At 38.7% G+C, this 23,213-nt stretch overlaps 2 long non-coding RNA genes across 2 annotated transcripts in view; one reads left to right on the forward strand and one right to left on the reverse strand.

Annotated features, from left to right (window-relative positions):
* Positions 1 to 11,185, reverse strand: part of LINC00639 (long intergenic non-protein coding RNA 639) — a 167,544-nt gene extending 156,359 nt beyond the window's left edge. The window contains exon 1 of the long non-coding RNA NR_039982.1: positions 11,085 to 11,185. This is a non-coding gene — a long non-coding RNA (long intergenic non-protein coding RNA 639). The remainder of the gene's footprint in view (positions 1 to 11,084) is intronic.
* The window catches only part of LOC105370457 (uncharacterized), a 40,472-nt gene extending 26,968 nt beyond the window's left edge, over positions 1 to 13,504 (forward strand). The window contains exons 4-5 of the long non-coding RNA NR_135256.1: positions 2,373 to 2,420; positions 13,301 to 13,504. This is a non-coding gene — a long non-coding RNA (uncharacterized LOC105370457). The remainder of the gene's footprint in view (positions 1 to 2,372; positions 2,421 to 13,300) is intronic.
* Positions 13,505 to 23,213: the final 9,709 nt, after the last annotated feature.

Genomic DNA, 23,213 nt, shown 5'->3' on the forward strand with positions numbered 1-23,213 from the left:
ATGGATTTTACTTTCTGTAAACTTTCTATTGCAATTATGATTGGGTTATCTTCAAACATTGTTTTTATCAGAAGAAAACTAAAAGATGAAGATGATTAATGTTCCCCCTAGATATTCATCACCAACAATCTCCTTATTACTCTAATGACTGTTCACTAGAAAAATATTTTAATGCACTTTCATGTTTTCATGTTTTCCAATTTAGAAAAATAATCAGACTTTAATGTGAATGCATTTTTAACATTTTTCCATGCTTTAGGGATGCCGCTTTTAGGAGGCAAATGTAATGAATGTTTTTAATCACACAAAAGAGGTTTTCCCAGAATCTGTGGTTTAATTCAACTTTTCAGTGACAACAAAATAAAAAAGACTAAATGCATCTATCAGCTAGGACTCCTCCCTTCTCAACATGGCTACCTATTGTTTAAATATATTTGAGAGATAAAATTCATTTAGGGAGACAGGAACAAAAATAAGCTTGCCAGGTTAATTTTCACAAATTTTCCCACACAGATCTATACAGATCGTTGCCATTCTTCTGAGAACTCCTGACCCCATCCCTCCAAGACGGTTCTCATCCTCAAAACACACTTCACCATATCCCACAGTTACATCCCCTTCCCCTTTCTCTAGTTTGTTCTCATGTGCCCTTCAGGTTTTCAATGTATTCTTAATGTCATCAGTGAAAATGTCACTACTGAAGAGATTTAAATGCCATTTGTCTATGCAGGCCTTTAACTTCAACATAAACAACCTGTTTTCCATAAGTTTATCCTCAGATTTAAACTGAACAGAAATCAAAGAATTATTTTTGTCCCATTTTTCTTTTCTTTGATTTAACTCATAGTCTCAGAGAGGATGCTCCAACTGCCTCACCATCTCCACATCACCTCACTACCTACTCAAGTGTCATAACCAAACCTCAGTAATATTCTAATAATGTCGTTCTCTGTCCTAGTTTAGAAGATAGCAAATAACAAGGGCAGGCAGATTTAAAGACTGGAATAAGGCATGTGATAAAGGCTTCTGCACACAATAAAGAATTGATCTGCAGATGTTGACTGGTTCTTGAGAAAGAAAGAGTTGATGCAGAAAATAAATCATCTGAGGGAAGGGTTTTCTCCCCCTAACCAAGATATTGTATAATGTCTCAACTGATATCCATAACCTTAATGAAGTTACCACGAAATGAAATATTTAATCATGTTTGTATATTCTACCATTAAACATGCTTCATGGACACACGTGAGCAATTATATAATATCACACTTCCAAGTTTTCCATTTTTAAAAAAACTCATAGACAATTAAAAACTACTCTTCAGATCACCTATTTTGTCAATGCACCTGTTAACTTCCTTCTCGCAAGAACTACTCCCAAGGATGTAGGACAATAGACTTTATTCTAAGGACTTCAGAATTCTTCACTAAAAGGCGTGATTAAGGACTAAAACTATTACTATCCAAACTAATTAGAGGGAGTTATGGTCTAATTTAGTTCTATGATATGAAGCTATTCTGAGTTGATTTTGTTGGAAACACAAATTCTATTATATTCTAAATTCAATTGCACAATTCCACAGCAAAGAATTGGGTAATCCATATAGCTCTTCGATTTTCTTGTGAAGATTCAAAGTTTTGCTTATTTTGAGTTATGAAATGTGAATTATTTCAGTGAATCAACCTCTAATTTCAAGGAGATTTGAGGAACAACTCTTTAATTAATCTTTATCATGCTTGCTTAAACTTTGCCAGCCATCTCTCTCCCGAAAGTAAATTAAAGTGAGAGGAGAAAGAATCTGAATGACCTGCCATAACACAGCTGGCTACTTGACAGATAAGTCTTTATAAGACCTATCATCCTGAAGAATGACATAATTTTGGTTTCAAGCACTATGCGTGCTCAGAAAAAGTTACAAGGCAGTGCAATAAGAAGTCAGAGTAATAATTTGTGTGTGTGTGAATAGACTGCATAGGTAAATATTTACATCTGATAAGTAATGAATACTCATTATTATTCATATTTAATAGTTTTCATGCCTTAAAAATATTTCTTTACCCAATCAGATATTCAGCTTCTCTGTAATTTTTAACTATTACCAACACAGAGCATATTAACTTTTACTACCATTTTATATTTTTTCATTATTATTATGTTTTCAGCTACCATTCACAATGCAACCACCTAAAAACCAAGCCTTACCAGTTCCAGTAAATGTCAGTTTAAAAAGGAAAAAAAAAAAGATTCAAAGTTTTGCTTATTCTGAGTTATTAAATGTGAATTATTTCAGTGAATCAACTTCTAATTTCAAGGAAATTTGAGGAACAACTCTTAATTAGTCTTTATCATGCTTGCTTTTTCTTTTCTTTTAGCCACCAGAAAACACTGGGAACAGAAAAAGACACAAAGTAAATAGATTGGTAAATATTTCTTTTTTTTATTTTATTTTTTTGAGACAGAGTCTCGCTCCGTCGCCCAGGCTGGAGCGCAGTGGCGCGATCTCGGCTCACTGCAAGCTCCAAGATTGGCAAATATTTCTATTCTACGACTCATAGAAGTAGCTGCCATCATGTATTCCCAGATACAGTGCAAAGTACTTTACATGTCTTATCTGATTTAATTCTTTTAAAAACTCTCTAAAAATGTTCTGTGATCAATGAGGAAACTGAGGCTTAGAAAGGAAAAGAAACTTGTCCAAGTCTCAAAGCTAGAGACTGACCTATAGTTTAAGTCCTGATTTGTCAGGACAAAATGCTTAATTCCTATTACATGTTGCCTGTATATGCAGACATAGGACCCACTGCAAATTGGCATGTGATACCTGCTCATGTGCTATGGCAGAAATACTAAGATGCCTAACTATGATTTGTGCCACCCTCCCATAGCATGATATTGATGTAGATACATAATATTGATGTAGGGTATTGTCCAATCCCCCTTACATGTAGGAGCGGCTATGATATAGATAGGTTGTTACCAAGAAAATGTGCCCAAAACTAATTTGCTACTTTCAGGCCTGTCCTATAAAAACTTCCCAGAAACTCTTCCATGTTCACCAGCCATCCCATTTGATGTCAACTGGAGTTGCCAGATAAAATGCAGAGCACAAATTTAAATTTGAATTTCAAAAAACTAAATTATGTTTTAGTGTAAATATATTCCATGCAGTATTTGAGACATATATTTACCAGGAGCACTGACAGTCAAGTTGCCAGATTAGCATATAAAAAGCATCAAAAATGTAAATGTCCCAAATATTTCATGGGATATACTTGTACTAAAAAGTTTTCTGTTGTTTATGTAAAACTCAAATTTAGCTGTGTGTCTAGTGTTTGTATTTGCTAAATCTGGCCGCCCAAATAGCAACACCTCTAGTTACACTGGCAGCAGCCACATGCTGAAGGCAGTAGAGCGACCATCAGCACAGATCTGATGACTGCAGCCAAGGGTACCCCGCCTTTGAGCTTTACATTAGGGAGAAATAAAGTTGTACTGTGGTAAGCCTCTTAGGCGTGTGTGCTGATTAATATAATACAAACAATACTAGTGTGACAATATTAATAAAAGTGCCAAGAGTTTATCATTCAAGTCTTAAAGGGAAGCAGCATGGAGAGTATAAATCGTTTAAATGTGGAGTCATGCCAGCATGTCCTGGGTTCCAATTTCTGCTGTATCACCTCCTAGTTTTGTGGCTCTAATTTCTCTAGCTTTGATTTCTTTACCCATAAAATAATGAAGTCAATGCTTTCTTGAAAAGATATCTTTAAAAAATAAATAACAAATGCAAAAGAAACCTAGAATATTTAGCATATAAATGCATAATATACTAATACTATTACTGATTTTTATCATTAAAAAGAATAGGCTATTTTCCCATTTTTATGTTTATTGAGCTGCAAAGTGATGAATTTATGCCTTTTTAATGAGAGTTCATTTTATTGTTCATAATTAAGTCCATACGGCTCACTTTTATAATTAGCTATTTTTTATCTCACTGTCTTTGAACTCGGTAATTGACTTTGCCAGCAGATTTTTAAGCTGAGATCAGTCTTTTCCCTGAGTTTTCCAATCAGACTAGCACTGCTGTTTTGACTCATGGACCTCAGTGCAAGGCCAGTAGGCACTCTGGATGGTCTGAAATCTGCCTTTCCTCCTCGTTGCTGAGCACATCTCAAATTGATCAGCTCAACAGGTAGAATTCAAAAGTGTCTCTCATTTGAAATTAGACAACCACCAAATCACCCTATTACAATTAAAACTGAGAATGCTCAACACCATAAAGCCCAAGACTGAGGCACAGTACTCCAATATGCACATTCCCATGCGTTCAGAACCTAACTGCTTCCAAGCACAAAATGTTTGGCCCTTTCTGGCTTAGACAACTTGCTTTATAGGAAGAAAATTGAAGCCTAACTTGAAATACTTTTTTTAAATGGTATTTGTTGAAACATTTTCATCAAATTTGTTAAGTCTTGAGGTGCTCAAAATTAAGCTATGTTTTCAGTGTCAATCTATTCTCATAAATCTCTTCTCAAAGAGAAAACCAAAAATGAAAGTGAATCTCTGATCTCTTACTGATTTGGAATAAATCACTTTGTGTCACTTTCTAACCTTGGCTACAAACCACAAAAATAGACCATTTAAGAACGGGACTCTTGACCTGAGATATGCAAACTTCCTTAAGTTGTAGACAAAACTCTGCATTTGTGCATAAATATGCTTTTCTCAGATTCCAAAAGGGATTCAGAGGCCTATACAGGTGTTCCACAGGGTTTCTGTCATTAAAAGCAACAATGGCAAGGTTTTTTGGGGGAAAAAGTCCATAAATAACCAACATTTTCCCCTTTAAAATAACATTTTGAAAGCCCTCAGTTATGAACAGAGTAATTTTAACTACTAGTAGTGCAGATCCAAAGAGCATACCCATAACCCAGGGTGCCACATGGCTGGGCACACTAGCTGCCAGAGGGCATGTGGTCACAAAACAGTTATACAGTACTTTTTTTAGCCATTTGCTGCTTAATTTACACCCAAAATGGACTATTGGTTAAACTCAGGACATTTAAAGAGCATGCCATTAATACCCAATTTAAAGAGGCACTGAAAGTGACAGTAATTCTTAAACATCACCTCAAGATGTTCTTTTCCAGAATTCTAAATTGTATTCATCTGATAAAAATTCTTATATAGCACCTCAAGACATATTCAATACCTTAAAAATAAAGTTAAGAAGATGAAATTGCCTGGCAATTATGTTAAATTTCTCTTTTAATTCATTGAAAATAATACTTAACCACACCTGTAAGATGTTACAGAAAAGTGCTTACAAAATAGCAAGAATAAAATTTTTTGTATCTCATCACAGGGAACCAAAACACAAAAAGATACAAAATAAAGCAGCTGCTTTTTATTTAAAGTGTAAAATGCAAGAATCGCAAACATCAATTTTTTTTAATGTTCTTCTACTTTTGATGTCAGCAAAGAATTAAAATGTAATCTCCTTCCTTCCTGCTATCTAGAGGCCATGTGAGGAGGATTCTGAGACAGGCATCAAGTCAGGGGAGGTGGTGGCTGAGTAATGGTGGTGTCAGAGCCTGAATGAGCTCCCACTGATCAAGTCTATGACAATCTGAACATCAAACTAAATGATAATAAGGGGAAGTGGCTAAGATGGCCAACTAGATGCAGCTTAGGTGTATGGCTCTCAAGGAGAGGAACAAATGGGGTGAGTAAATATGGCACCTTCAACAGAAACATTCAGGTACTCGCACTAGTACTAGTCAAGGAAACAACTCAAACCATGGAGAAGACCTCCAGCCACCCTCACTAGTGTTCTCTGGCAGACAGATTTGAAAGCTCCCTAGAACAGAGCTCCCAGAGGAAGGGGCAGGCTTCCATCTTTGCTGTTTGGATGACTTAGCAGTTCCAGGCTTTGGGCTTTGGAGAGCCCAAGCCAACTGGGGCAGGAGTGGTACCCCAGCACAACACAGCTACTCTAAGAAAGCATGGCCAGACTGCATCTTTAAGTGGGTCCCTGATCCTGTTTCTCCTCACTGAACGGAACCTCCCAATTGGGGCCTCCAGCCACCTCCACCAGTGTTCTCTGGCCTACAGAAATTAGAAAACTACCTGGGACAAAGTTCCAAGGAGCAGGGGCAGGCCACCATCTTTGTGGTTTGGGCAACTTAGCAGTTCCAGCTTTCGGGCTTTGGAGAGCCCAAGCTGACCAGAGGTGGAAGCAGTACCCCAGCACAGCACAGCAGCCCAAACAAAACTGTGGCCAGACTGCTTTCTAAGTGGCTGCCTGACCCCATTCCTCATCACTGGGTGGGGCCACCCAACCAGGGTCTCTAGCTATACCCACCAGTGTTCTCTGGCTGACAGAGGCTTCAGGCCTCCCTGGGATGGAACTCTCAGGAGGAGAAGCAAGCTGTTGTTCAGGCAACTTAGCCATTTAGACAACTTAGCTGTTTAGGCAACTTAGCCGTTCCAGCATTTGGACTTCAGAGTACTTGAGGTGACCAGGGGCTAAAGTGGCTTCCCAGTACAGCAAAGCTGCTCTACAAAAACATGACCAGACCACTTTTTTAAGTGAGTCACTGATCCTGTTCCTTCTGACTGGCTGAGACCTCTCATCCGGGGTCTCCAGCCACCTCTTACAGGTGTGTTTGAGCCAGCAGGAGGTCCGTACATCCTTTGGATGCAGCTCCCATAGGAAAGGGCAGGCCGCCATCTTTGCTGTTTTGCAGCCTTCACTGGTGATACCTCCAGGTACTGGAAAATCCAAGGCAAGTAGGGACTGGAGCAGACCCCCAGCATTCCACAGCAGCTCTATGGAAAAGTGGCCAAGTTGTTAAAAGAAAAAAAGAAATCCAAAGATCAGCAAACTCAAAGACTGAAAATAGATAAGCCCACAAAGATGAGAAAGAATCAGCACAAGAACACTGAAAACTCAAAAAGCCAGAGTGCCCTCTTTTTCCAAATGACCGCATCACCTCTCCAGCAAGCGTTCAGAACTGGGATGAGGCTGAGATGGCTGAAACAATAGAAGCAGAATTCAGAATATGGGTAGGAAGGAAGTTCACTAAGCTAAAGGAGTACATTGTAACCCAATGCAACGAAGCCAAAAATCATGATAAAACATTGCAGGAGTTGACAGACAAAATAGCCAGTATAGAGAAGAATGTAACTAACCTGATAGAGCTGAAAAACACAATAAAACAATTTCTTAATGCAATCACAAGGATTAATAGCAGAATAGACCAAGTGGAGGAAAGAATTTCAGAGCTTGAAGACTGTGTTTCTGAAATAAGACAGGCAGACAAGACCAGAGAAAAAAGAATGAAACAGAATGAACAAAACCTCCAAGAAATATGGGATTTTGTAAAGAGACCAAATCTACAACTGATCAGTGAACCTGAAAGAGATGGGGAGAATGGAACCAATTTGGAAAACATAATTCAGGATATTATCCATGAGAATTTCCCCAACCTAGCTAGAGAGGCCAACATTCAAATTCAGAAAATGCATAGAACCCCAGTAAGATACCCCATGAGAAGCTCATCCCCAAGACACATAATCTTCAGATTCTCCAAGGTTGAAATGAAGGAGAAAATGTTAAAGGCAACTAGAGAGAAAGGCCAGATCACCTACAAAGGGAAGCCCATCAGACTAACAGTGGACCTCTCAGATGAAACCCACAAGACAGAAGAGATTAGGGGCTAATCTTCAACATTTTAAAAGAAAAGAAATTCCAACCTGGAATTTTATATCAAGCCAAACTAAGCATCATAAGCGAAGGAGAAATAAGATCCTTTTCAGACAAGCAAATGATGAGGGAATTTTTTTTACCACCAGACCTGCCTTACAAGAGCTCCTGAAGGAAGCACTAAATATAGAAAGGAAAGATTATTACCAGCCACTACAAAAACATACTGAAATACACAGACCAGTGACACTATAAAGTAACCACGTAAGTCTTCAAAATGACCAGTTAACATCATGACAGGATCAAATCCACACATATCAATACTGACCTTAAATGTAAATAGGCTAAGTGCCCCAATTAAAAGACACAGAGTGGCAAGCTGGATAAAGACCCATAGGTACGCTGTCTTCAAGAGACCCATCTTACATGCAATGAGACACAGAGGCTCAAAATAAAGGGATGGAGAAAAATCTACCAAGCAAATGGAAAACAGAATAAAAGGAGGGGTTGCAATCCTAGTTTCTGACAAAACAGACTTTAAACCAGCAAAGACCATAAAGGACAAGGAAGGACATTACATAATGGTAAAGGGTTCAATTCAACGAGAGGAAACAACTATCCTAAATATACATGCACCCAACACAGGAGCACCCAGATCTATAAAGCAAGTTATTAGAGACCTTCAAAGAGACTTAGACTCCTACAAAATAATAGTGGGAGACTTTAACACTCCACTGACAATATTAGACAGCTCACTGAGACAGAAAATTAACAAAGATATTCAAGACCTGAACTCAGCACTGAAGCAAATGGACCTGATAGATGTATATGGAACCCTCACCAAAAACAGAATCTACATTCTTCTTGATGCCACATGGCATTTACTCCAAAATTGATCACATAATTGGAAGTAAAACACTCCTCAACAAATAAATGCAAAAGAACTGAAATTCATAATAAACAGTCTCTCAGACCACAACACAATCAAATTAGAACTCAGGATTAAGAAATTCACAGCCAGGCACAGTGGCGTGAGCATAATTCCAGCACTTTGGGAGGCCAAGGTAGGCAGATCACCTGAGGTCAGAAGTTCAAGACCAGCCTGGCCAACATGGCAAAACCCCATCTCTACTAAAAATACAAAAATAGCCAGGTGTAGTGGTGGGCATCTGTAATCCCAGCTGCTTGGGAGGCTGAGGCAGACAGAACTGCTTGAACCCAGGAGGAGGATGTTGCAGTGAGCTGAGATTAAGCCATTGTACTTTAAGCTGCATGACAGAGCAAGACTCCATCTCAAAAAAAAGAAAAGAAAGAAAGAAATTAATTCACTGAAAACCACACAGCTACATGGAAATTGAACAACCTGCTCCTGAAGGACTTCTGGGTAAACAATGAAATGAAGGCAGAAATCAAGAAGTTCTTTGAAACTAACAAGAACAAAGATACAATGTACCAGAATATCTGGGACACAGCTAAGGCAGTATTAAGAGGGAAATTTATAGTGCTAAATGCCCACATCAAAAAGTTAGAAAGATCTCAAGTTAACAACCTAACATCACCACTAAAAGAACTAGAGAACCAAGGCCAAGCAAATCCCAAAGCCAGCAGAAGAGAAGCAATAACCAGAATCAGAGCTGAACTGAAGGAGATAGAGACATGAAAAACTATTCAAAAGATCAATGAATCCAGGAGCTAGTTTTTGGAAAAAATTAATAAAATAGATAGACCACTAGTTAAACTAATAAAGAAGAAAAGAGAGAAGATTCAAATAAACACAGTCAGAAATGACAAAGAGGATATTACCACTGAACTCACAGAAATACAAACAACCATCAGAGAATATTATGGACACCTCTATGCACATAAACTTGAAAATATAGAAGAAATGAATAAATTCATGGACACACACACCCTTCCTAGAAAAAAGGGATAAATTCCCGGACACACATACCCTCCCAAGACTGAACCAAGAAGAAATTGAATCCCTGAGTAGACCAATAACAAGTTCTGAAATTGAGGTGGTAATAAATAGCCTACCAATCAAAAAAAGCCCAGGTCCAGACAAGTTCACAGCTGAATTCTAGCAGATGTACAAAGAAGAGCTGATACAAAGGCTAGACACAGTGGCCCACACCTGTAATCCCAGCATTTTGGGAAACCAAGGTGGACAGATCACTTGAGCTCAGGAGTTTGTGACCATCCTGGGCAACATGGCAAAACCCCATCTCTACAAATAATACAAAAAATTAGTAGAGCATGGTTGTGTATGCCTATAGTCTCAACTACTTGGGGGGGCCAGGCAGGAGTTTGTGACCAGACTGGTTGACAAAGTGAGACACTGTCTCAAAAAAAAAAAAAAAGAAGAAGAAGAAGAAGAAAGAAAAAGAAGAGCTGGTACCATTTCCATACATCTTCTGAAGTCTAGGCAGGGGGTCTCAAACCTCAGTTCTTGACTTCTGGGCACCCACAGGCTCAAGACCACATGGAAGCTACCAAGGCTTGGTGCTTCCACCCTTTGAAGCAACAGCCCAAGCTGTACCATGGCCCCTTTTAGTCAGGGCTGGAGTGGCTGGGACACAGGGCACCAAGTCCCTAGACTGCACACAGCACAGGGACCATGGGGCTGGCCCACGAGAGCATTTTCTCCTAGGCCTCTGGGCCTGTAATGGGAGGGGCCGCCATGAAGACCTCTGATATGCCTTGGAGACATTTTTCCCATTGTCTTGGGGATTAACATTTGGCTCCTCATTACTTATGCAAATTTCTACAGCCAGCTTCAATTTCTCCTCAGGAAACCGGTTTTCTTTTTCTATCAAATTATCAGGTTGCAAATTTCCCGAATTTTTATGCTCTGCTTCCCTTATAAAACTGAATGCCTTTAACAGCACACAAGTCACCTCTTGAATGCTTTGCTGCTTAGAAATTTCTTCAGTCAGATACCCTAAATCATCTCTCTCAAGTTCAAAGTTCCACAGATTTCTTGGGCAGGGGCAAAATACCACCAGTCTCTTTGCCAAAACATAACAAGAGTCACCTTTGTTCCAGTTCCCAACAAGTTCCTCATCTCTATCTGAAACAGCCTCGGCCAAGACCTTATTGTCCATATTGCTATCAGGCTTTTGGTCAAAGCCATTCAACAAGTCTCTAAGAAGTTCCAAACCTTCCCACATTTTCCTGTCTTTTTCTGAGCCCTCCAAACCATTCCAGCCTCTGCCTGTTACCGAGTTCCAAAGTCACTTCCACATTTTCAGGTATCTTTTCAGCAGCACACCACTCTACTGCTACCAATTTACTCTATTAGTCCATTTTCTTGCTGCTGATAAAGACATACACAAGACTGGGCAATTTACAAAAGAAAGAGGTTTATTGGACTTACAGTTCCACATAGCTGGGGAGGCTTCACAATTATGGCAGAAGGCAAGGAGCAGCAAATCACATCTTACATGGATGGCAGCAGGCAAAAAAAAAAAAATGACCCTGTTCAGGAAAATTCCTGTTTTTAAAACTGTCAAATCTCGTAAGACCCATCACTATCATGAGAACAGTATGGGAAATACCCACCCCCATGATTTGATTATCTCCCACTGGGTCCCTCCCACAATACATGGGAATTATAGGAGCTATAAGATGAGATTTGGGTGGAGGCACAGAGACAAACCATATCACATGGAATCAACCTATATGTCCACCAACAGTAGACTGGATGAAGAAAATGTGATCAATATACACCATGGAATACTATGCAGTAATAAAAAAGAAAGAGATATGTCCTTTGCAAGAACACAGATGGAACTGGAGGCCACTATCCTTAGCAAACTAATACAGGAACAGAAAACCAAATACTGCCTGTTCTCATTTATAAGTGGGAGCTAAATGATGAGAACACATGGACACACAGAGAGGAACAACACACACTGGGGCCTTTCAGAGGCTGGAGGGTGGGAGAAGGAAGACAATCAGGAAAAATAACTAATAATTAAATAACTAATGGGTATTAGGCTTAAGATCTGGGTGACAAAATCTGTACAACAAACTCCCATGACACAAGTTTACCTATGTAACAAACCTGCATTTATACCCCTGGACTTAAAATAAAACTTTTAAAAAATAAACAAATGATAATAGCAGATTATAGCCCATTAAATAAACTAGGAATTCATGAGTTCAAATTACATAAACAAACAAATAATTATTCCTTACATAAGAATGCTAATTACTGTATGCAGAAGGAAAGGTAGAATTGGAAGGTCATTATTTGGCAACTATTATAGTAGTAGTTGATTGAAGAAGAAAGCATCAAATGATGCTGAATCTGAGTGAAGGTTTGATGACAACCAACATGGTCTCAAATTATCTCCCCACAAAGTGCTGTTAACTGCAAAGGGGAGATGAGTTACTTTGCAGTCATAAATGTTGTATCACTGGGCACAGTGGCTCATGCTTATAATCCTAGCATGTGGGAAGCTGAGGTAGGCTATTTTCTTTTAGTAATTTCATGGCTTGTGGTCTTAGATTTAAGTCTTTAATCAATTTTAATTTGACTTTTGTATATGGCAAGAGATAGGGGTCTAGTTTCATTCTTCTGCCTATGGATATCCAGTTTTCCAAGCCCCACTTATTGAAGAGACTGCCTTTTCTCCAACATATATTCTCGGTACCTTTGTTGAAAACAAGTTTACTGTAGATGTATGAGTTTGTTTCTGGGTTCTCTATTGTGTTTCATTAGTCTATGTGTCTGTTTTTATGCCAGTACTATGCTGTTTTGGTTACTGTAGCCCTGTAGTATAATGTAAATGACAAGTTAACCAGTGCAGCACACCAACATGGCACATGTATACATATGTAACAAACCTGCACATTGTGCACATGTACCCTAGAACTTAAAGTATAACAAAAAAAAAGAAAAGAAAAGAAAGGAACAGAGGAAAAGGAGGAAGGAAGGAAGGAAGAAAGGAAGGAAGGAAAAGAGGGAGGGAGGGAGGTTGTATTAAAATGAGAAAATTGATTAGTTCACAAATTATGCATTAAAAGGCCCACAGTTTACTAGATCTATAAATTCCTCAGAACCCCTAAATACATTGGCTTTTTAGAATAAGTGTTAAATACACACACACACACGAACACACACAACCCACAATACAACTGATGTGGCCTTGTGGAAGGAATACGTAAAGCTATTTGCATTATAGTGCTAATTTAGCTTTTCTTTACATTGAACCTTAATAACCAGAATCTGCTTCTTTGTAACTTCTGTCCATTTATCCAGTTTCCACCCAAGGAGAGAGAGCAAGTCTCATTGCTCAACTATTCTAAATCTGCCACCACGATCCCCTAAATCTTTTCCAGGCTGAACACTCCAGATTTCTTCTACTCTTCCTTAACTGATAGGACTTTAGTTCTCTTGGCTGCTTTTCTCTGAAGTATCCCATTTTGTCTGAGACAGTACTGTGACGGTACTATGATACCTCTGAAACAATAGTATGGTACCAGTGTCTGAGCAGAATGGACTGGCACTCACAAAACCAGATATTGTATTTTCAGTAGTGCACCCAAGGGTGATACTATTATTTATTTCTTTTATGGAATTTCCAGCTGGAGATGCAGTCTGGCATGTGCTATGAAAACAATCACCAATTTCTGCACTTGATTAGTCTGCCCGTCGCCTCAGCCATTGTCAGCCACATTGCGTTATTCGAAAATGCATTGCAATGTATTTAGAGTTATGAAGTCTTAGAGTTTGTACTTGATTCTGTAAATAAATTATTATTATGGCTATTAAAACTTTTTAAAAGCAAATTCTCCTCACCTGCTCTTCTTTTCCCAAATTAATGAGCTTTCCTGGAGATGTTTAATCTCAGAAGTTCATCCTACAGTATGCAAGATTAGTCACTGCAAGGTAATGTTACATTTCATATCTGAGGTCAGAATAGTATTATTTGGAGCTGTTGCAAAATTTAGAAGATGAACTGATTTAGTATTATTTTTAAGATTAGAATCAAACAGAAAAATCTTTGCTTCGGACTGAATTAAGAAACAATATACAAACTAGCAATATGACAACATCAAACCAATGTATCACTATATCATTTTAATTATGTAAGAAATAAAACAGCTAATGTTTGTTTACTGTTTCATATGTGCCAGGGATAATTCTAAATGCATTATGTCTATCATCTCATTTAATCCTTAGAATATGGATGAGGAAATGAAAGCCCAGAAAAGTTGCCATGTCACACAGCTAGTGGGTAACAGAATCAAGATTTGAAACCAAACTGTCAATGTTGAACCCATACCACCTCGTGGTTCTCATTAGCTGCAGTCAAAGACACTCTGGCTGGAAAATCCAGGGGCAGTGAGGACATGGAGTGTGTGGAAGCAGGCTTCCTGTGCTACTGGCAGGACTGTCAGCTAGTACAAGCTTTCCAAGGGAAATCTGGCATTCTGTTTCAAAAGCCTTACCATTTATTCTGCAGAAATTGAACAAGTGTCAAAATATGTCTTCTGTAAGGTCAACTGAGGAAATGTAAACAATAACAAAAAAATTAAAATGACCTACTGTTCAACACAGGTGATTTGGTAAATAAACGGTGATACATCATAGAATGAGGTTATTGCACAGCCATTAAAATTATGATTTAGCTGTGTAAAGACAAAAAAGGTATAGACACAGCTCAGTGAAAATTCATGTATAAAACAGAATCTAAAATGTGTTATTGTTTATAAAAATGTACACATAACATTTATATATATATACTCATTTTTAAAAGCTCAGAAGTATGTAGACTAAAATGAAATCAAAAACGTATTTCTGCATAGTTATATTAACAGTTGTTTTTCCATTGTAATTACCTGTATTTTTTCACTTGTCTACATTAAGCATGTATTATTTTAGAGAAAAATACAAGTTTAATTCCTATTTTTAATGATAGATTTAAAAATAATGACTAATAAGATACATACTATCTATTAAATAAGAAAAGAATAATTCGAAACAGAATAACGTGATCTCATCTTTGTAAAATCTGTACAGTTTATTTTAATAGTATAGTATATTATAAAAGTACACTTTTTGTATTTAAATATATTACATTATAAAAATGCTGGTAAGTTCATCCTTATCTCCAAATAGTAAAGGATGGATTTTATTTTACTTCATTTTGCTTATCTATATTTTTTATTGTATACTGCTTTTATAATTAAAATGTGTTAATTTTAAATAATCTATTATTAGTAATGAATATTGATGAGTTGTATAAAAAAGAGAGTTCAAAAATTACATAACCACAGCAAAAAAAAAGTACTAGCATTCAAAATGGCTTAAAGAAATATAAGTTGTTAATTCTCACCAGCACTCAGAGACTTGTCCACCACAGTTCCCAGGGAAGATTAAAATTAAAGCACTTAACATAACTTCAAAATATGAGGATCCCAGCAAGCAACCCTGAAATGCTCTTAGTATAGCAGACACAGGGAAAGCCATCAATGTGTTTCTTTCTGGAAGGTTTATTTTAATGACAAATGGAAACATTATAACTTACATTGTATCTTTCTTATCGTGTGAAAGGAATTAATACAATAATAGCCTTAGTACTTATTAAATTATACCCTGAAATTTCTCCATAATATAAAAGTTAACTTTTCAATCAAATGTGTACAAATTGGATATTGTACATTTGTGTAATCATAATTCTATGTTGTACATGCAAGAAAATAGTCAAAATAGGGAGGCACAACATGTCAAAATATTCTAATTTAATGCCAGTGTAGCTCAATATGTTCTTTCCAGTAGCTCTGAACTAAATTGATGAACAGCAGGCTAAATGAGGAAAAAGAAGAGCTAAATGAGGAAAAAGAAGAGCTAAATGCATGCTGAACAAAGCTTATAAAAGGAAAACAATTTGCTGTCAAATAGCAAGAAAGGATGTGCTATTTAAGGTTACATCTCAGACAAGGATCACTAATAAAGAACCAATCATTTTGACAACCTTAGGGCAATTACATTATTTTTAAAAAGATAATCATATGAGGTAATCAAAAAATATTTAACAATGATAATTAGAAATGTAGAATTACTTGAGTCTCATTTTATTCTAATAAAATATATGGCAAATCTGTCTACCCTTAGGAATGAGAAATAGAATGGCAAACAATGAAAGTATTTAAAATGGTGAGGGAAGAGACAATCCTAAGAGGAAGACCCACAAAAACCATGGTGACTCAATTTTATACAGGCTAGATGTGATCAATACTCTTCCCAATCATTTGATTAAATGATTAAAGGGGCAGGGCAGTTCCAAGATGGCCGAATAGGAACAGCTCCATTCTACAGCTCCCAGCATGAGCGACACAGAAGCATTTCCAAGTGAGGTACCGGGTTCATCTCACTGGGGCTTGTCGGACAGTGGGGGCAGGACAGTGGGTGCAGCGCCCAAGTGTGAGCCGAAGCAGGGCAAGGCATCGCCTCACCCGGGAAGTGCAAGGGATCAGGGAATTCCGTTTCCTAGCCAAGGAAAGCAATGACGGACAGCACCTGGAAAATCAGGTCACTCCCACACTAATACTGTGCTTTTCCAAGGGTCTTAGCAAACGGCACACCAGGAGATTATATCCCGTGCCTGGTTCGGAGGGGCCCATGCCCACGGAGCCTCGCTCATTGCTAGCACAGCAGTCTGAGATCAATCTGCAAGGAGGCAGCGAGGCTGGGCGAGGGGTGCCCGCCATTGCTGAGGCATGAGTAGGTAAACAAAGTGGCCAGGAAGCTCGAACTGGGTGGAGCCCACTGCAGCTCAAGGAGGCCTGCCTGCCTCTGTAGACTCCACCACTGGGGGCAGGGCATAGCTGAACAAAAGGAAGCAGAAACCTCTGCAGACTTAAATGTCCCTGTCTGACAGCTTTGAAGTGAGTAGTGGTTCTCCCAGCATGGAGTTTGAGATCTGAGAACAGACAGACTGCCTCCTCAAGTGGGTCCCTGACCCCCGAGTAGCCTAACTAGGAGGCATCCTCCAGTAGGGGCAGACTGACACCTCACACGGCCAGGTATCCCTCTGAGACGAAGTTGCCAGAGGAACGATAAGGCAGCAACATTTGCTGTTCAGTAACATTCGCTGTTCTGCAGCCTCTGCGGCTGATACCCAGGCAAACAGGGTCTGGAGTGGACTTCCAGCAAACTCCAACAGACCTACAGCTGAGGGTCCTGTCTGTTAGAAGGAAAACTAACAAACAGAAAGGACATCCACACCAAAACTCCATCTGTACGTCACCATCATCAAAGACCAAAGGTAGATAAAACCACAAAGATGGGGAAAAAAACAAAGCAGAAAAGCTGAAAATTCTAAAAATCAGAGCGCCCCTCCCCCTCCAAAGCTACGCAGCTCCTCGCCAGCAATGGAACAAAGCTGAATGGAGAATGACTTTGACGAGTTGAGAGAAGAAGGCTTCAGACAATCAAACTTCTCTGAGCTAAAGGAGGAAGTTCAAACCCATCGCAAAGAAGCTAAAAACCTTGAAAAAAGATTAGACGAATGGCTAACTAGAATAACCAATGCAGAGAAGTCCTTAAAGGACCTGATACAGCTGAAAAACATGGCACGAGAACTACGTGACACAGCACAAGCTTCAGTAGCTGATTTGATCAACTGGAAAAAAGGGTATCGGTGATTGAAGATCAAATGCATGAAATGAAGTGAGAAGAGAAGTTTAGAGAAAAAAGAGTAAAACGAAACAAACAAAGCCTCCAAGAAATATGGGACTATGTGAAAAGACCAAATCTATGTCTGATTGGTGTACCTGAAAGTGACAGGGAGAATGGAACCAAGTTGGAAAACACTCTGCAGGATATTATCTAGGAGAACTTCCCCAATCTAGCAAGGCAGGCCAACATTCAAACTCAGGAAATACAGAGAATGCCACAGAGATACTCCTCGAGAAGAGCAACTCCAAGACACACAATTGTCAGATTCACCAAAGTTGAAATGAAGGAAAAACTGTTAAGGGCAGCCAGAGAGAAAGGTCAGGTTACCCACAAAGGGAAGCCCATTAGACTAATAGCGGATCTCTCGGCAGAAACTCTACAAGCCAGAAGAGAGTGGGGGCCAATATTCAACATTCTTAAAGAAAATAATTTTCAACCCAGAATTTCATATCCAGCCAAACTAAGCTTCATAAGTGAAGGAGAAATAAAATCCTTTACAGACAAGCAAATGCTGAGAGATTTTGTCACCACCAGACCTGCCCTACAAGAGCTCCTGAAGGAAGCACTAAACATGGAAAGGAACAACCAGTAGCAGCCACTGCAAAACCATGCCAAATTGTAAAGACCATCGATGCTAGGAAGAAACTGCATCAACTAACAAGCAAAATAACCAGCTAACATCATAATGACAGGACCAAATACACATAACAATATTAACCTTAAATGTAAATAGGCTAAATGCATCAATTAAAAGACACAGACTGGCAAATTGGATAAAGAGTCAAGACCCATCAGTGTGCTATATTCAGGAGACCCATCTCATGTTCAGAGACACACATAGGCTCAAAATAAAGGGATGGAGGAAGATTTTCCAAGCAAATGGAAAACAAAAAAAGGCAGGGGTTGCAATCCTAGTCTCTGATAAAACAGACTTTAAACCAACAAAGATCAAAAGAGACAAAGAAGGCCATTACATAATGGTAAAGGGATCAATTCAACAAGAAGAGCTAACTATCCTAAATATATATGCACCCAATAGAGGAGCACCCAGATTCATAAAGCAAGTTCTTAGAGGCCTACAAAGGGACTTAGACTCCCACACAATAATAATGGGAGACTTTAACACCCCACTGTCAACATTAGACAGATCAACGAGACAGAAAGTTAACAAGGATATCCAGGAATTGAACTCAGCTCGGCATCAAGCAGACCTAATAGACATCTACAGAACTCTCCACCCCAAATCAACAGAATATACATTCTTCTCACCACCTCATCACACTTACTCCAACATTGACCACATAGTTGGAAGTAAAGCTCTCCTCAGCAAATGTAAAAGAATAGAAATTATAACAAACTATCTCTCAGACCACAGTGCAATCAAACTAGAACTCAGGATTAAGAAACTCACTCAAAACTGCTCAACTACATGGAAACTGAACAACCTGCTCCTGAATGACTACTGGGTACATAAGGAAATGAAGTCAGAAATAAAGATGTTCTTTGAAACCAATGAGAACAAAGACAGAACATACCAGAATCTCTGGGACACATTCAAAGCAGTGTGTAGAGGGAAATTTATAGCACTAAATACCCACAAGAGAAAGCAGGAAAGATCCAAAATTGACACCCTAACATCACAATTAAAAGAACTAGAAAAGCAAAAGCAAACACATTCAAAAGCTAGCAAAAGGCAAGAAATAACTAAGATCAGAGGAGAACTATAGGACATAGAGACACAAAAAACTCGAAAAAATCAATGAATCCAGGAGCTGGTTTTTTGAAAAGATCAACAAAATTGATACACTGCTTGCAAGACTAATAAAGAAGAAAAGAGAGAAGAATCAAATAGACACAATAAAAAATGATAAAGGGGAGATCACTACCTATCCCACAGAAATACAAACTACCATCAGAGAATACTATGAACACCTCTATGCAAATAAACTAGAAAATCTAGAGAAATGGATAAACTCGTGGACACATACACCCTCCCAAGACTAAACCAGGAAGAAGTTGAATCCCTGAATAGACCAATAACAGGCTCTGAAATTGAGGCAATAATTAATAGCCTACCAACCAAAAAAAGTCCAGGACCAGATGGATTCACAGCCGAATTCTACCAGAGGTACAAGCAGGAGGTGGTACCATTCCTTCTGAAAGTATTCCAATCAATAGAAAAAGAGGGAATCCTCCCTAACTCATTTTATGAGGCCAGCATCATGCTGATACCAAAGCCTGGCAGAGACCCAACAAAAAAAGAGAATTTTAGACCAACATGCCTGATGAACATTGATGCAAAAATCCTGAATAAAATACCGGCAAACCAAATCCAGCAGCACATCAAAAAGCTTATCCACCATGACCAAGTGGGCTTCATCCCTGGGATGCAAGGCTGGTTCAACATATGCAAATCAATAAACATAATCTAGCATATAAACAGAACCAAAGACAAAAACCACACGATTATCTCAATAGATGCAGAAAAGGCCTTTGACAAAATTCAACAACCTTCATGCTAAAAACTCTCAATAAATTAGGTATTGAAGGGACATATCTCAACATAATAAGAGCTATTTATGACAAACCCACAGCCAATATCATACTGAATGGGCAAAAACTGGAAGCATTCCCTTTGAAAACTGGCACAAGAGAGGGATGCCCTCTCTCACCACTCCTATTCAACACAGTGTTGGAAATTCTGGCCAGGGCAATGAGGCAGGAGAAAGAAATAAAGGATATTCAATTAGGAAAAGAGGAAGTCAAATTGTCCCTGTTTGCAGATGACATGATTGTATATTTAGAAAACCCCAATGTCACAGCCCAAAATCTCCTTAAGCTGATAAGCAACTTCAGCAAAGTCTCAGGATACAAAATCAATGTACAAAAATCACAAGCTTTCTTATACACCAATAACAGACAAACAGAGGCCAAATCATGAGTGAACTCCCATTCACTTTTGCTTCAAAGAGAATAGAATACCTAGGAATCCAACTTACAAGGGATGTGAAGGACCTCTTCAAGGAGAACTACAAACCACTGCTCAATGTAATAAAAGAGGATACAAACAAATGGAAGAACATTCCATGCTCATGGGTAGGAAGAATCAATATCGTGAAAATGGCCATACTGCCCAAGGTAATTTATAGATTCATTAATTTATAGATTCAATGCCATCCCCATCAAGCTACCAATGACTTTCTTCACAGAATTGGAAAAAACTACTTTAAAGTTCATATGGAACCAAAAAAGGGCCCGCATTGCCAAGACAATCCTAAGCCAAAAGAACAAAGCTGGAGGCATCACGCTACCTGACTTCAAACTATACTACAAAGCCATAGTAACCAAAAGAGCATGGTACTGGTACCAAAACAGAGATATAGACCAATGGAACAGAACAGAGCCCTCAGAAATAGTACCACACATCTACAACCATCTGATCTTTGACAAACCTGACAAAAACAAGAAATGGGGAAACGATTCCCTATTTAATAAATGGTGCTGGGAAAACTGGCTAGCCATATGTAAAAAACTGAAACTGGATCCCTTCCTTACACCTTATACAAAAATTAATTCAAGATGGATTAAAGACTTAAATGTTAGACCTAAAACCATAAAAACCCTAGAAGAAAACCCAGGCAATACCATTCAGGACATAGGCATGGGCAAGGACTTCATGTCTAAAACACCAAAAGCAATGGCAACAAAAGCCAAAATTGACAAATGGGATCTAATTAAACTAAAGATCTTCTACCCAGCAAAAGAAACTACCATCAGAGTGAACAGGCAACCTACAGAATGGGAGAAAATTTTTGCAATCTACTCATCTGACAAAGGGCTAATATCCAGAATCTACAAAGAACTCAAACAAATTTACAAGAAAAAAAAACAAACAACCCTATCAAAAAGTGGGCAAAGGATATAAACAGACACTTCTCAAAAGAAGACATTTATGCAGCCAAAAGACACATGAAAAAATGTTAATCATCACTGGCCATCAGAGAAATGCAAATCAAAACCACAATGAGATACCATCTCACACCAGTTAGAATGGTGATCATTAAAAAGTCAGGAAACAACAGATGCTGGAGAGGATGTGGAGAAATAGGCACACTTTTACACTGTTGGTAGGACTGTAAACTAGTTCAACCATCGTGGAAGACAGTGTGGCAATTCCTCAAGGATCTAGAACTAGAAATACCATTTGACCCAGCCATCCCATTACTGGGTATATACCCAAAGGATTATAAATCATGCTGCTATAAAGACACATGCACATGTATGTTTATTGTGGCACTATTCACAATAGCAAAGACTTGGAACCAAGCCAAATGTCCATCAGTTATAGATGGGACTAAGAAAATGTGGCACATATACACCATGGAATACTATGCAGCCATAAAAAAGATGAGTTCATGTCCATTGTAGGGACATGGATGAAGCTGGAAACCATCACTCTCAGCAAACTATCATAAGGACAAAAAACCAAACACCGCATATTCTCACTCATAGGTGGGAATTGAACAATGAGAACACTTGGACACAGGAAGGGGAACATCACACACCGGGGCCTGTTGTGGGGTGGGCGGAGGGGGGAGGGATAGCATTAGGAGATATACCTAATGTAAATGACGAGTTAATGTGTGCAGCACACCAACATGGCTCATGTATACATATGTAACAAACCTGCACGTTGTGCACATGTACCCTAGAACTTAAAGTATAATTTAAAAAATGATTAAAGGGCTAAATATGCCCAATAATAAAAGCTTTACTTGCTGTATTAGTCTGCTTTCACACTGCTATAAAGAACTGCTCCAGACTGGGTAATTTATAAAGGAAAAAGGTTTAATTGACTCACAGTTCCTCATGGCTGGGGAGGCCTCAAAAAACAATCATGGCAGATGGCAAAGGGAGAAAGCAAGGCCCTTCTTCACATGGTGGCAGGAGAGAGAAGAACTCACAAGAGCAGGGATAACTGCCTTATAAGCCATCAGATCTCATGAGAACTCACTCACTATCACAAGAACAGCATGGGGGAAACTGCACTTCCCACCAGGTCTCTCCCTAAACAACTGGGGATTACAATTCTAGATAAGATTTGGGTGCGGACGCAAAGCCTACCTATATCACTTGCCTAAGATTAATGTGCACTCTTACCAGAAAACAGCCCGTTTCCAAAGTAATGAGTAAGTGGAACCAACAGAGGCTAGATTGAGCAACATTTGGTTGCCTCACAAGCAAAGAAGAGAAATATTTTAGGACAAGCCTTCATGTTATATGGTTTCAAGGCAGACGCTACCATTTTACCCAAGAAAAGCAGGGCTATGGTACTGCACAAGCCCAGAAGCACAAGTCACATAGAACACAGTGATGCCTGGAGCAAAATGGTGACTTCATACCCTGGGATGCAAGGGAAGAGCTGACAAGACAAAGCTAATAGAAAATAAATGCAGTAAAAGGTAACAATTTTAATGTCTTTACCTACAAAGGAATGTACTTTCTAATGACCAGGCTTCATATCTCAATTCATAACATTGTTTAAGTACACAAGAAAGACTATGTGTGTGAAAAGTGTATTGTATTTTTTTCATATAAATTTTCAGCTGACACGCTGTTTCATTAGCTAACTTCACCATAGAAACGCAACTGTGTTAAAAGGCAATCACAGGGTGGATACAGACACGGGGCTGGTTCTACCCTTGGACAGCCAGCCACAAGATGAAGGTTGAAGGACAACAACAATTCAACCCCAAGATCCCTCTTTAATATTTCCACCATTAGAATCCATGGAATTAAATTATACTACCTCTT

This window comes from Homo sapiens, chromosome 14 (assembly GCF_000001405.40).
Source record: "Homo sapiens chromosome 14, GRCh38.p14 Primary Assembly".
Classification (NCBI taxonomy): Eukaryota; Metazoa; Chordata; class Mammalia; order Primates; family Hominidae; genus Homo; species Homo sapiens.